At 35.9% G+C, this 15,226-nt stretch overlaps 1 long non-coding RNA gene across 3 annotated transcripts in view, besides 1 other annotated feature; it reads right to left on the reverse strand.

Annotated features, from left to right (window-relative positions):
- Positions 1,144 to 1,739: an enhancer, noted in NCBI's record as "OCT4-NANOG-H3K27ac hESC enhancer chr8:76131164-76131759 (GRCh37/hg19 assembly coordinates)". NCBI's record gives its function as "activates a minimal SCP1, AML or CMV promoter by ChIP-STARR-seq in primed H9 embryonic stem cells {active_cell/tissue: H9 hESC(primed)}" and the evidence as "EXISTENCE:reporter gene assay evidence [ECO:0000049][PMID:30033119]".
- The window catches only part of CASC9 (cancer susceptibility 9), a 55,773-nt gene continuing 45,878 nt past the window's right edge, over positions 5,332 to 15,226 (reverse strand). For all 3 annotated transcript variants that reach the window (NR_103849.2, NR_103850.2, NR_103848.1), the window contains one exon: positions 5,332 to 6,573. This is a non-coding gene — a long non-coding RNA (cancer susceptibility 9). The remainder of the gene's footprint in view (positions 6,574 to 15,226) is intronic.

Genomic DNA, 15,226 nt, shown 5'->3' on the forward strand with positions numbered 1-15,226 from the left:
TTTTTGCATTGTTCTTTTACTTGTTATATATATCAATGTGGTATCAAGAATAGAACCAAATCTGCTCTAGGAAAGCCAGCTGACTTGTGAGGTAAGAAAACTTTCCTAAGTTATCAAACATTAAAATTGGCTTCTTTTGCGAAAGTTAACTTTGGATAAGAAAATATTTAAGAAAAAAATCCATTTCTCTATTTCCACTCAAGTTAGAAGGCTTTTTATAACTCTAGAAGTTTATTTAGGATAGAAATTGAAGAGCCTGTTCTCAATCAGAGCATCTGTTTGGGTCTAGTGAGTTTTAAATGACATGTCTCCCATGCCATGCAGCCTGGGACAGGTATTCAAATACAACATAAGGATATATTACCCATATGGTGCAGCCAGGACAGGTATTGACATACAATGTATGTAGTTTAAATATGTCTGGTGAATTTTGTGTGTGAAACCTGTTACATCTTACTGATTAATTCAATGCTTCAAAAAGTTGTGTAAAATAAGAGAGAATATTTTTAAAGCACTTCTTGATGGACAATGACATTTTAAAGAACTTTCTCAACAGAGAAATAAAGAATGGAAAACATCAGAAATGCAGATGAGTGGAATAGAAATGTAATAGTAAAAACAGCCAAAAGCACTGTTAGAGAAGATTAGCCAAACTTTGCTTGTGAAACTGTGCCTCTGACGAAGTAAATGCAGCAGGCTGATCCAGGAAACTCTTAGAGCATACTTTAAACAGTCTAGTATACACTTTGGAAATGTGAAAAACTTTGTCACATTCAAAACAAAATTTGTCTGAGAGATTCTGGAATTTCTGATTTAAATTCCTGGCACTGGAGGAAAAATTGCTCCTGGAGATTGATACGTATTGTGATTTTGAATTAAATTCTGGACATCACTTAAGTGTATATTTTGTCATGAGGAGAAAAAAATAGAAAAAATGAGGGCAAGAGAATCTGAGAAAGAAGGAAGGGAGGAAGGATGGAAGGAAGGAAGGAAGGAGGGAAGGAGGGAAGGAGAGAGGGAAGGAGGGAAGGAGGGAAGGAGAGAGGGAAGGAAGGAAGGAGGGAAGGAGGGAGGGAGGGAAGGAAGGAGGGAGAGAGGAAAGGAAGGAAGGAGAGAGGGAGGGAAGGAAGGAAGGAGGGAGGGAGGGAGGGAAGGAAGGAAGGAAGGAAGGATGGAGGGAAGGAGGGAGGGAAGGAGAGAAGGGGGAAGGAGGGAAGGAGGGAAGGAAGGAAAGGTAGTTGGAAAGAAGGAAGGAAGGAAGGAGGGAGGGAGGGAAGGAAGGAAAGAAGGAAATGAGAAAGGAATGAAAAAAGAAAAGAGAAAGGACAAGGGATGATAGTGAAGCCTCAGATTAGCCTAAAGAACCAGAAACATCTGACATCCTAGACTATTCCCAAGCACCCATGCTGTGCCCCTCTTGCCTGACAAAGGAATTTCAATACAACTGTGTAATGGAAATGTTGCCTGGTATCAGGGAATACATTCCAGAGAAGATTAGCCTGGCCTTCCCATTTCAGTCTTTTGTTTATAATTTAGATACAGAGGCCAAAGCAAATGCCATGAAGCAAAACCCTAGAGGGAAAGGCAGTCTTGTTGCTAAGAGGGAAAGTGAATATTGAACTTAGATTTTAAAATAATGGTCTGCCACATTCCTGGTGTTGGTTACTAATTGATTCCCCAGACAAAATTGAGAGAGTGTCAACTATGATTTTAAAGGGCTACTGTTGGCTATTATTGTTCCTGATTTCAAAAGGGGTAGAGGAAGAAAGCCATATTTGTTCAAGTACTGAAGCAATTTCCAGGCTTTCCGTGCAAACCAGATTTGGGCTGCTCATTTTGTACAAGTCACAGTTGCAAAGACCTTATGTGAAGATGAGCTTTTATAATGGGCAGGACCTGCAACAAGCAGAATTGTTGCCAGAGAGGTCAGTCAATTCTGAGAAATGAATCCGTATTAGGCCTGTCCAGTGGGATGTGTTATATGTTAGGAAATGTTGACACTGCATATGGCTCTCCTCTTCATTTTTTCTAAAATAAGGATAATTTTTCCTTTAATTTAATCTTTAACATCGTTTTTATTTCAGGCATTCAGTGTAATTAAGAGTGATTACCATAGCCTTTTTATAAAACCGGTTTGTAGAGTTACAGCCATGTGTAGTAGCTGAAAGAAATAAAAATTAATAAATCCTGAGCTTGGAGCTATTAGGAAAAGCTAGGTGCAAATTTCAGTTGCTAGACTTTTTCCTCATAAATAAAGTCTGGATTTTGTACAATGCAGCAATCTGTCTAGGTAGAAAAATACTTTTTCAGGCTTTCTTTGTAGGTTTTATGACCCATGTGCTACAATTTGAGCCAATGAAATATAAGCTGAAATTTGATAGCTATTTCTATGAAAATTTTGCATTTCTGATATTGGCTTTACTCTCCCACTTTTTACTTTTCTTCTTCTTCTTAATAGCATTGTGTTTGTAAGGATAGAGATGTAAAAGCCAGTTTACTCATTAAAGAAATTCCATACAAACACATTTGTTTGTTAAAGATGGTAACGGGAAATATATAGGAACCTATGACACTGATGACACCATGAAGATACTCTATTAACACTAAGTTGTCTAACTCTGGATTCTTTATTGTAGAAAAGAAAACCCCACCATTATTTGGATAAAGCACTGTTAATAGATTTTGTTAATGCAGAGATCTTTTTGGAATTGTGAAAAGAGAAAAAAAGGAGGCAGGTTACAGTATATCCTACCTATAGTATAGGGGCTGTACTATAGCTATGTACCTACCATACCTTAGTATAGTATGTGGATTGTGTTCTGGAAAGCCAAAAATTGACTATAGAGAACAATTACCATTTATATATCTCAGGCTTCTCTCTTTTTGTTTGAAAAAATAGCCTCTTTTTAACTGTATTTGTTTAATATAACTAGACTGGCTGTTCAAAACCCTGAATTAGATAGAATTTCAAGCAGGAAAGGAAGAAAACATCAATTTTTACTCATCACAGCTAGTGTCTTCATTATAATTCATAGAAAATACAATTATTCTCAGCTATATTTGAGTTCTCTAATGAATTTAAATGTTAACTAGTTGGCTATACTTTCAATCACAAAACATTTTTAAATAATGGTTATACTTTACACATTTCTGTCGAAGGGTTAAAAAAATGAGTTAATGAAAAGGTATGTAATGCTAAAATTATAAATTATAAATGCTAGAAATTAGAAATTGGTCTGTGTTTTGAAACAGTCAGAAATAAAACTTTATGCCACTAGCTTATAGAGTCAAAATTTTTTGGACTGTACATGAAATATATCTAACTTGACCTAACTTACAGCCATAAGAAGAGCATAGAGAAATCGTTTGTGGACCCATACACAGCCATAATTCTCAATGTCTCTTATTCTTGGTTCTGCCACTAGGTCAAATTCAATATCCTCTCTGCAGAGAATTATAAAAGTCCCAAGTTCAAATTCTTAAACTTCTCACAAGTGAGGTTTGTGCCCAAGAACATTTCTCTTTTGAATAAAAGTTGAAGATAATTCTTAAAAATTATTTTACTTTTCTATTGTTGTTGTTAAAAAGTAGTGTCTTTTGATATCAGCAACAACAACAAAATACCTTTAAAAGTAAAACACCTTTGCACTCCTAGTGTTGGTTAGAATAATTTTGCTTGTAATATGATGTAAATAACATTAAAACTAGCTATGCATTAGTTGATTAACAAGTTTTGCACAATCGTACAATTAAAGTCTATAACTACAGAATTTATAACATTCAAAATAATTATGTTTGCATGTAAAAAATATGTTCTTTAATGAAACTATCTGTCAAGAATTGAAATATAATGAAATATAGGTTCTTTTATTTTCTCTATGAGTATACTGTACCTGTACCATGACTGACTCAGTTCTCTCACCATTGTTGTCTATCTGAAACATAAAAACTCTATTTATATAATGCATAAAATTATTTTTATTTAATTTAACCAAAAATTCTAATCTACATATTGTGCTCATCTCAATATGCTCATCTTTCTTGTCATTAGCCTAGTAATACACAATGCAAAATGGTGACATTCTCATAAGGTTAAAAATATATTAAGAAATTAGTTTGTTCATTAAAATTATAATCAATTATGAATTATACCTGAAAAAGTGTTCTTTCTTTATAATTGTAAAGAAAGCTTACAAAGGTGCTGTCTTAGTCCATTTGTGTTGCTGCAAAGGAAGACCTGAGGCTGAGTAGTTTATAAAAAGAGGTTTATTTGGCTCATGGTTGTGCAGGCTGTATAAAAAGCATGGCACCAGCATCTGCATCTGGTGAAGGCCTCAAGCTGCTTCCACTCATGGCAGAAGGTAAATGGGAGCCACCACATGGTGAAAGCAGAAAGGGTTGGCCGGGTGGGGGGGCGGTGCGGGGTGGGGTGGGGGGCGCGCAGGCAGAGAGAGAGAGAGAGAGAGAGAGAGAGAGAGGTGCCAAGCTCTTTAACGAGTAGCTCTTTTGGGAACTAATAGAGTGAGAGCTTACTTATTATCATGAGGACAGCATCCAGCTATTCATGAGAGATATGCCCCCATGACCCAGACTCTTTCCAACAGATCCTACATCCAACATTCGGGATCAAACTTCAGCATCATACTTGGCAGGGCCAAATATAGCAGATGGAAACACAGTTTTGGAGTAATTATTGTTATTTTGACTTCAGAACAATCTAAGGAAATTAAATATGAAAAATTTGGGGGATGATTATTCTGCACGTGTATTACAAACATAAATGAAAAGTGAGCAACAAAATCGTATGGGTCATAAGATGAGAGTGAATATCTTAAGTATGGTAAATACTGCAATGTGAGAGCATGCAAACTCCATTTCTGGCTATGGTGAGGTAATTGATGCTGGAATTAGCTATAAATATGTACAAATTTGAAAAAATACAGAATAAAACTGTTCTTAGACAAAGTACCAAAAGACAAACAAACAAACAAACCTAAACAAACAACAAAGCAGCACAAGAACATCTCTGATAGAAAGAAGCAACCAAAGCAAGCCCTATAATTTACCCAAACTTCTGACTAGAAGAACTTTCCATGTTGCAGCACATGAAGGAAGACCATCAAAAAATGGCAGTTTTATGACTCGGGGAAACAAAAGAACAAATCGGGGGAACTTATTGCCTGATTCCATGACTTACTATAAAGCTGCCGCAATCAGCTGTATGATAGTGGTGCAAGGATACATCAACAGATCATCGGAACCAAACACAGAGTTCAGAAATAGATCAAAACACATGGCTTCAATTAATTTTTAAAGAAGAACACTTCCATTAGCTATAGAATTTTTTAATCAACATTTATTTTATTTCAGCACTTTAAAGATCTCATTCCACTGTCTTCTGGGCTTAATGATCTCTGATGAGAAGTGTGCTAGTATTTAATGTATTGTTCCTCTCTGTGTAATAAGTGTGTCTTTTTTCTCTGACTGCTGTCAAGATCTTCAGCAGGTTGAAAATGATGTCGCTTGGCACAGTTCTCTTTGATTTTATTGTTTTTGGTTTACTAAACTTCTTGAGTTTGTAAATGTGTGTCTTTCATTATAGTGTTTAAGCTTTCAGATATTTTTTCAGAAATTTTTTTCTGCTCATCCTCTTCTTTTCTTTTCTTCTGGGACTTCAATTACTTACATGATTCACTTTTCAAAAAACATCCACAGGTCTCCAAGGATATACTTATTTATTTTATTGATCTCTTCTCTCTTCTTCAAATTGCCATATTTTCATACATTTTTCTCTGCATTACCATTTTTTCTATTGAGAATATCAGGTGAATTTATTTTTAGATATTGTGTTTTAATTCTAAAATTTATATTTGCTTATTTTTATAGTTTACATGACTGCTGAGATTACCTGTTTTCATTCATAGTGAGCATGTTTGCATTTACCTCACTAGGCAAAATTAAAATAGCTATTTTGAAGTCTTTGTCTTATAATTTTAGCATTTCTGTTAACTTGGGGTTGGCATCTGTTGATTATCTTTTCCCTATGCCAATTGACAATCTATTAATTTCTAATGAAGAAAAGTCCAGGAAATAGCTTTCTTTTTTATGTTTGTGACATATTAAAGTTGGAATCCAGTTGAAAGGTTCTTCTAACTTATGTTTAGAATGGAAGCAGCAAATGTGTCCATCTGCAAACTCTGGAAATTCTTCCTGATTCCTGAATTTAAAGGAAATGTGAAGACTGGTAATATGAGTCCCATGATCAGAAGAAGAGGGGCAAAATTGTGTATTAACTCTATATTGACCAAAATACATGCTTCCATTGCTTTGCTGCTGTCTGGGTCCCACCTGGTTTTCAATTTTGCTTGGGTCTTTCTCCTCCTCTCTCAAATCTACACTTTAATATTTCTTGATAGTGCCAATGACTCTCCAGCCAAACATAACCTGTTTCTTGCCAGGTGTTGTTCTGCTATCACAGGCTATGTTCCAGAAAAGCAAATTCTTTTCTCAACACCATGAATGTGGCTGACCAATCACTTTTCACATCTTTCCTCCTTTCTTCAAAATCACATTCTGGAGGAGAAGATAAAAATACACAGTGAAATTAAAATAAAATTTTTTAATTTCTTATTGAAAGATTTAAATTTTATATTAATTTCTAGAATTTCTAGTTTTTCTTTCTTTTTTTAAAAGAACAGTTTATATTATGAACCTGAAGAAATAAGCAGTGGGGAGTTTGAAAGTCGTTGTTAGGCTTCCTGCTGCGTTTTTCTCTTGGAAAGAGCCTTTTCCACAGAAAGTGCTTCATCAGAAAGTAGACCACATTCTTTCAGGGATATTTTAGATGAGATCTATGCCCTAATGTAAAGTTGGAGGTGAGGTTTCCAAGGTCACTTTCAGCTCTAAGGCACAATGATATACTCTGAACGATTATCACATCACACTGGAAAGGGCCTATTATTTTTATTTAACCATGTATTTTAGAAATAATAAGCCCTTTGTTTACATAGACACTATTTAGAGAATGATACACTTTTTCAGACTATTCTAAAAATCTCAAAATTAAAAGAGCCCAGGTTAATAAGGGGCTGATTTATTGCTTTACTACACAAGATGTTTGCCATTAACCTAACAGAGGCGCCACACAGAAAAATCATTGTGTAGGGGAAGAAGCCAGAAGGAAAATTAGTCCTGTGATGAAAGGGAACCCATTATGGCTGACTTGATGATATTAATGGCATTTTCCTTCCTCTACAGTATTGTAAAACCTAAATATTTTAATGGGACTCATTTCCTCCCCTGGAGGAGAAAGATTACATTGCTGTAAGCCTTTTGTAAATTTCAGGGCATATGTTATGTAGCAATCTTATTCTCTCAAACTTTACTGAGGGAGCTTCATTCCTATTCCTGTGATCAGAAGCTGTGAAGTGAGAGTCACTCCAAGCTCCAAATCCTGTCAGCCAACCACTGGCCTTCATGATAGTTCAGGCTGCCAAGTGGACAGAGACTGATTATTTTCTGGCTTCCAATTTCTGAGTCCTGCACTGTAGGTTAGACCGACTCATAAAGTTGACTTTGTGTATACAGTACCCTGAAATGGCATAATCAACATATTTTTCTTCCTGCACATGGCAGCAGAAGAAAAGAACATGCTTCCTTAATTGATCTGCTGAAACCTTGGTCAGCAGGGAAATAAATCTTTCAACCTTTGAGTTATAAGAACTGTAGTTTTCCTAGGGCAGTGAGGATATTTTAATTTGCTTTTCTGTATAAAGCCAAACCTTAGTTTTCAATACACCCATATATTCAGGAACACTAGAAATTATTCTTACACACCTAATATTTTAATAATTATTACTTTTTCTAATATTAGATTATCCCATGTTGCATGCCCAGGACCCATATCTCCAATAATGATATCATTCAGAAAAATAGTAAAAGTAGATAAAATTAAGGATATATATCAAGGTTTGATATAACCCAACATACATAACACTCAACCATTTCAATAATCCGAAGGGTAATTTAGAGTCAAATTATCAATAAAATTAAAAAGATGCCTGTGGCAGATTAAATTATTGCTTTAACACTTATTTCATCACAGTCTGTATTCATTCCCGTTGTTACATCATTTTGCAAGTTCCTCAACAATAACTGAGATACACTTTTCTCCCTCTTTAGAATTGGTCGTTTGATTTACTTCAGCCAATGAATGTGAGTGCATGCGACATGCCTGAAGGCAACAAAAGCATGGCATGAATGGACTTGTTCCCTTGTACTTTTGCCATCATCGAAAGAGCATGCAGCTAGCCCTGTTGTCTAACGAGATGAGATAGCCTGGAGTAGGACTACATGGCTGATGTGAAAACCTGCAGCTTGAGTATTATTTCGGCCTCAGTAGCTGATCCTCCACTGAAAGAGACTCATGAGCAAGCTTAGCTAACACCAGGAAAGTGGTCCAGCTAATTTTCAGTCAGAGATAGTGTAGCTAAGATTTATGGAAAAAAAAAAAAAAGACTTTATTTCTATGAGTTTGTGATATTTTGTTACAGAGAATATCTTATTGATACAGTATGTATTTGATTAAATTAATCATCATAAGTTCACATTAACTAAAGTGTATGCCTTTAACTCAGAGAGGGTACCTTTTTTTTTTTTTTTTTTTAGACGAAGTCTTGCTCTTTCACCTAGGTGGGAGTGTAGTGGTCTCATCTTGGCTCACTGCAACCTCCGCCTTCTGGGTTCAAGTGATTCTCCTGCCTCAGCCTCCCAAGTAGCTGGGATTACAGGGGCACACCCCACTGTGTCTGGCTAATTTTTGTATTTTTAATAGAGACGGGGTTTCATCATGTTGGCCAGGCTGGTCTGGAACTCCTGACCTGAGGTGATCCGCCCACCTCAGCCTCCCAAAGTGCTGGGATTATAGGTATGAGCAATCATGCCCAGCCCACAGTGGGTATTCTTAATGCCCTTTTCAGAAACTGAATTACCCTAATCGCCATAATTCTAAAAAGGCAGTCATAAAATAAAGATATAAATTTTTCAGTGCATGAAATTAAAGTCTCAGAAGCACTTATTTTTTTCTCCAGTTATAGATTAACAATCCAATATAAAATAATTAAAGCATTTGAGGAAAGTTGATTTAGTTAAAATCCTATAAAATCTTGATTAAAATGTAAGTAATAGTGATATATATTTATATAGAACACCTCATTTGAAAAAGAGTTCCACACGTAACATTTTATATCAGTTCTTACAAGATCTAGTGTGGCACTGGAAGGAAGGTATGCTTAATTGAGCTGATGGGGATCTCAAAGACATGTTAATTTAGATACACATTTTTTTAATGGACGGATTTTGCTGTTGACTATCAAATGAAAGTGTTTCAAATTTAAGGAGAAATTCCCCATGTTTATAGTTACAAAAAAGTAATTGTGGCTTACTGATTTTACATTTCAAGGATAAACTTTTTATTCCTACCTAACAACATCTACTTTACAAAGCCTAATTATCATCTATGTATTCTCATACGGAAGAATTGGAGTTTGAGGCTGAATACTATATTCTTAGTACCAAGAAAAGACCATGCTTGGATAGCGTTACTGAAATCAGTCTGCATCATAAAAGAAAGAATCACCAAAAATTAATAAATGCTCCTCAGTATGAAAGCAAGTTTGCAACAGTGTCAGAACAACTTTTTTCAAAATGTTCTGTTTGTTAACCTGGAGATAATTTTTTTTTCCCATCTGATCAAGTTTTATCTACTTGTGAATATTCTGCCTCACATAGATTGCTGTGATTATCTCCCCAACCGCATTCCATGTAATCATTGCTAAGCTCATTCATAATCACATGCTTTCTGTTTACGATATTCTCTCCTCTTCCTGGCTGTGAGCGATCATCTGTAGGCCATTTCCCTGGAATTGAGGGACACTTTGATAACTAAGCACGATTATTTTCTTCACATCTTTACACTGCCTTCTCTCACTACCACTGAATAACTTCTTCATTCTACGTGTATATCTACAAAGAATGGCTTGGGCAAATGTCTAAGAAGAAATATTCAGCAGGTAAAAGTTAAAAGAAAATGATATTTCTATCAACGAAGAAAAACAGATTTAAGTAGAAATGCCAAATGTTGTTTAAAGTAGGACTACTGATTCTGGTAGATGGCTCACACTGATGGAAACTCTTAACTAAACTTCTTTAAAAAATTGTAAAAAAAAATTTGATTCATTAATCTGATGTGCTAATGAGTAAATACATGTTTAGTGTTTGAGAATTTTTTTTAAATGAAAAAGGTCTCTACTTGTTATTCCTGAATAGATATATTCTTTAAACTAGGAATGTCAGTACTCTGAAATTCAGCCTTGTTATGATGTATATTAATTAAATCCTTCAAAATATATTTACTTGAAATTTTCCATGGGCTAGATATGACCATAGGTGGTAAGGGGATAGAGGTGAACATGTTTCTGTGTCCTCAGGGAGCTTACATTCTAGTGGAGGGCATAAATCATAAACAATAATGATATTAATGCTTAGTCACATCTGTGGGAAATGCTTTATAAAGAAAAATGCAAGGCTCAATGAAAGTATATAACAGAACCCTATTTGGTGAAGGAGGGCAGAGATAAAGTAACGTTTAGTTGAAATGAAACTTCAAAGATGGAGTTAACTAAGTGAAAAATTCTAGTGCACACTTTTCAAACAGAGAAAACAGCAGTAGTCCCCCTTCATCCTTGTTTTGCTTTCACAGTTTCAGTTACCTGCAATCAACCACAATCCAAAAATATTAAATGGAAAATTCCAGAAATAAGCAATTCATAAGTTTTAAATTGCTAGATGTGCTAAGCAGCATGATGAAATCTTGTGCCCATGTTTTCTGTCCCATCCAGGACGTGAAACATCCCTTTATCCAGTGGTCTCCATGCTGTATACATTACCCACTCGCTAGTCACTTACTAGCCCTCCTAGTTTTCGTGTTGAAAAAACATACTGTACATGTGGTTTGGTACCATCTGTGGTTTCAGGCGTCCGCTGGGAGGCTTGGAATGTATCCCCTGAGAATAAGGAGAGACTACCAAATAAGAATTCCCTGAGGCAATTAGAAAAATGATGAATATCAGTTTCCTAGAAACATGGTAGCAAAGTGCCACAAACTGTGTGGTGTCAAACAACAGAAACTTATTCTTTCACAGTTCTGGTGAGATAAATAGAGAAACAGGTTTAACTCTAGACTTGGTTAGGATGGCAAAAGAAATAGGGCACACAAACTAGAAATGTAAAATGTACAATAATAGAAGTAGAAAGTTGAAGTAAGACATTTAAGATAATTTTACCAATCTAACAGTTGTTAGTAAAGAAAAAGAAAACAAATATTAAGCATAGTAAATATAAAACCTTAATAATATGGTGGAAGTAAATCTAAATATATCATAAGCCACATGGATGTTATTCTTTCTTATTGAAAGACTGAAAATATCCAGATAATATTATTTTCAAAGGGTTCACACTGGCTAGTGTTACAGTAGTAAAATGTGTTATGGGATCTGAAGATGGGTTGGAAGAGAGAAAAAGTATAAAGGGCAAGAAAAATTAGGAGACCATTCAGTTATTGGTGGTAGGAAGAGAAATGGAGTAAAATATATATTTTAAGAGATACTTAAAAGTAGGTATAATAGTTTATTATATAATCCAAGGGTCAGAAGCTCATATATTTCTAAGTCTTCTGAAGTGGCCATCACCATTCAGCTTTCAAAATAACTAACTGTAAGTTCCATCCCCCAAACTGAGAAATCTAGTTCCCTTTTTCTGTTTGTGGTTATGTCCCAAGATTCTTATGGAACTATTAAGTGTTTTCATGATCTGATACTTATGTTCTGCCTCTTCTGAATTATTAGTGTTGATTTTATATTTCATGCCCTATGACTTTCTGTCTCACCTTAGCCCAAATGTGCCATAAATTTCATTTTTTATTTTTAGTAACCAATACTATCATGAAGAATTTTAAGTTGGGAGTCACAAAAGAGAGTCACAAAATAGCATGAAATTAAAAATGTTAGTCATCCTTTGTAAGATTTTCTTAGCTATAAAACAACTAGAAGATAACAGAGGAGAAAACCTTAATTACCTTCAGTATAATGAAAACTTTTTAGATACTACAACATCAAAGCCATGATCTATGACAGAAATAATTGTTAAGCTGGACTTCATTGAAATTAAACATTTCAGGCCAGGCATGATGGCTCATTCCTGTAATCCCAGCACTTTGGGAGGCTGAGGTGGGTGGATCACTTGAAGTCAGGAGTTCGAGACCAGCTTGGCCAGCGTGGCAAAACCTCATCTTTACTAAAAATACAAAAATTAGCTGGTCATCGTGGCATGTACCTGCAATTCCAGCTACTTGGGAGGCTGAGGCAGGAGAATTGCTTGAACCCAGGAGTTGGAGGTTGCAGTGAGCCGAGATTGCTCCACTGCACTCCAGCCTGGGCAATAGAGAGACTCTGTCTCGATTAAAAAAAAAATTAAAAATTTCTTCTCTAAAGACATTTATGCAGGCAACAGACACATGAAAAAATGTTCATCATCACTGGCCATCAGAGAAATGCAAATCAAAACCCCAGTGAGCTACCATCTCACACCAGTTAGAATGGCAATCATTAAAAAGTCAGGAAACAACAGGTGCTGGAGAGGATGTGGAGAAATAGGAACACTTTTACACTGTTGGTGGGACTGTAAACTAGTTCAACCATTGTGGAAGTCAGTGTGGCGATTCCTCAGGGATCTAGAACTAGAAATACCATTTGACCCAGCCATCCCATTACTGGGTATATACCCAAAGGATTATAAATCAGGTGCTATAAAGACACATGCACACGTATGTTTATTATGGCACTATTCACAATAGCAAAGACTTGGAACCAACCCAAATGTCCATCAATGATAGACTGGATTAAGAAAATGTGGCATATATACACCATGGAATACTCTGCAGCCATGAAAAAGGATGAGTTCATGTCCTTTGTAGGGACATGGATGAAGCTGGAAACCATCATTCTGAGCAAATTATCCCATGGACAGAAAACCAAACACCGCATGTTCTCATTCATAGGTTGGAATTTAACAATGAGAACACTTGGACACAGGGTGGGGAACATCATACACTGGGGCCTGTCGTAGGGTGGGGGGAGGGGGGAGGGATAGCATTAGGAGATATACCTAAAGTAAAGGACGAGTTAATGGGTGCAGCACACCAACATGGCATATATGTACATATGTAACAAACCTGCATGTTGTGCACATGTACCCTAGAACTTAAAGTATAATAAAAAAAATAAGAAAAAAAAATTTCTTCTCTAAGGCAATGTCAAGAGAATGAAAAGACAAGCAGCAGGTTTGGAGAAAATATTTGCAAGACTTATCTGATACAGGACTATTATCCAAATTATATAAAGACTATTAAAGTTCAATAATAAGAAAAGAAGCTACGTGATTTAAAAATGGGTAAAATACCTTAACAGACACCTGACATCATAAGAAGACATATAAATGGCAAATAAAATAGACCTTATATTAAAGAAGATATACAGATTGCAAATAAACATATTATAAGATGTCCACATCATATGTCATCAGGGAAATGCAAATTCAAACAACAACATAATCCCATTACATACCGGTTCAAATGACCCAAATCTGGAATGCTGATGCCAAATGTTGACCAAGATATGAAGCAACAGAAACTTTCAGTCATTGATGCTGGAAATGTGCAATTGTATAGTCACTTCGACAGACAGTTTTGCAATTCTTACGAAATTAAAAATTCTTACGATTCAATCCAGATATTGGCCATTTGATATTTACCCAAAAGAGATGAAAACTTATGTTCACACAAAAGGTTGCACCTGGATGTTTATAGTTTTTTTTCTTTTTTTTTTTCTTTGTAGAGAAGGAGTCTCGCTCTGTCGCCCAGGCTGGAGTGCAGTGGCGCGATCTCGGCTCACTGCAAGCTCCGCCTCCTGGGTTCACGCCTTTCTCCTGCCTCAGCCTCCTGAGCAGCTGGGACCACAGGCGCCCGCCACCACGTCCAGCTATTTTTTTTGTATTTTTAGTAGAGACGAGGTTTCGCCATGTTAGCCAGGATGGTCTCGATCTCCTGACTTCGTGATCTGCCCGCCTAGGCCTCCCACAGTACTGGGATTACAGGCGTGAGCCACTGCGCCCAGCCTATAGTAGTTTTATTTATAATTGTGAAAACTTGAAACCAATCAAGATGTTCTTCAGTATGTGAATGAATGAATAAACTGGTACATCCAATGAAATATAAATGAGCATTAAAAATAAGTGATCTAATAACCCATGAAAAGACATGGAAGAAGCTTAAGTTCATATTATTAAGTGAAAGTAGCCAATTTGAAAAGACTACATACTGTATGATTCCAACACTATGACATTCTAGAATAGATAAAACTATGAAGTCAGTAAAAGGATCAGTGATTGCCAAGAGTCGGGGTGTTGGAGGGATGAATAGGCAAAGCACAGAGCATTTTTAGGGCAGTGAAACTATACTTCATGATACTATAATGGTGGATTGATGTAGTTTGGCTCTTTGTTCCCACCCAAAACTAATGTTGGATTGTAATTTTACATGGTGTTGGATGTACAACGCCAAGAGTGAACCCTAATGTACACTATGGACTTTGGGTGATTAGGATGTGTCATTGTAGGTCCACCAATTGTGAGAAACATACCTCTCTGGTGGAAGATGTTGATAATGGGGGGGGCTGTGCATATGCAAGGGTGGGAGGTTTATGGGAAAACTCTGTATCTTCCTCTTAATTTTGCTGTAAACTAAAACTGCTCTAAAAAATAGTCTCATTTTTGTAAGAAAGGAGTGGGGAAGATGATAAAAATATAAAATCCTAAGTAGAAGGGGATAAAGAAGCCCTTGGCAGAAAGGGGCTGTAGAATGACCAAGCCTCGGTACTCATTTGGATAAGATCAAAAGAATTACACACCAGCAAAAGAATAGACCCAAAATATTGGATTCCTGTTACTAATTCAGCTAAATAAAGAAGCACAGATTAGATAAAAGATAAATTATCTTGGAAGAAATGTCAAACTTTGCATGTTTTACTTTTTTCACAGTAAAACACATTACAAGTTGGAAAATATAAGAAAATAATTCTCATTTCTGGTGTGTCCTTGAATAGAGTAACACATG

The sequence above is a fragment of the Homo sapiens genome, chromosome 8 (genome assembly GCF_000001405.40).
Source record: "Homo sapiens chromosome 8, GRCh38.p14 Primary Assembly".
NCBI classification, from domain to species: Eukaryota; Metazoa; Chordata; class Mammalia; order Primates; family Hominidae; genus Homo; species Homo sapiens.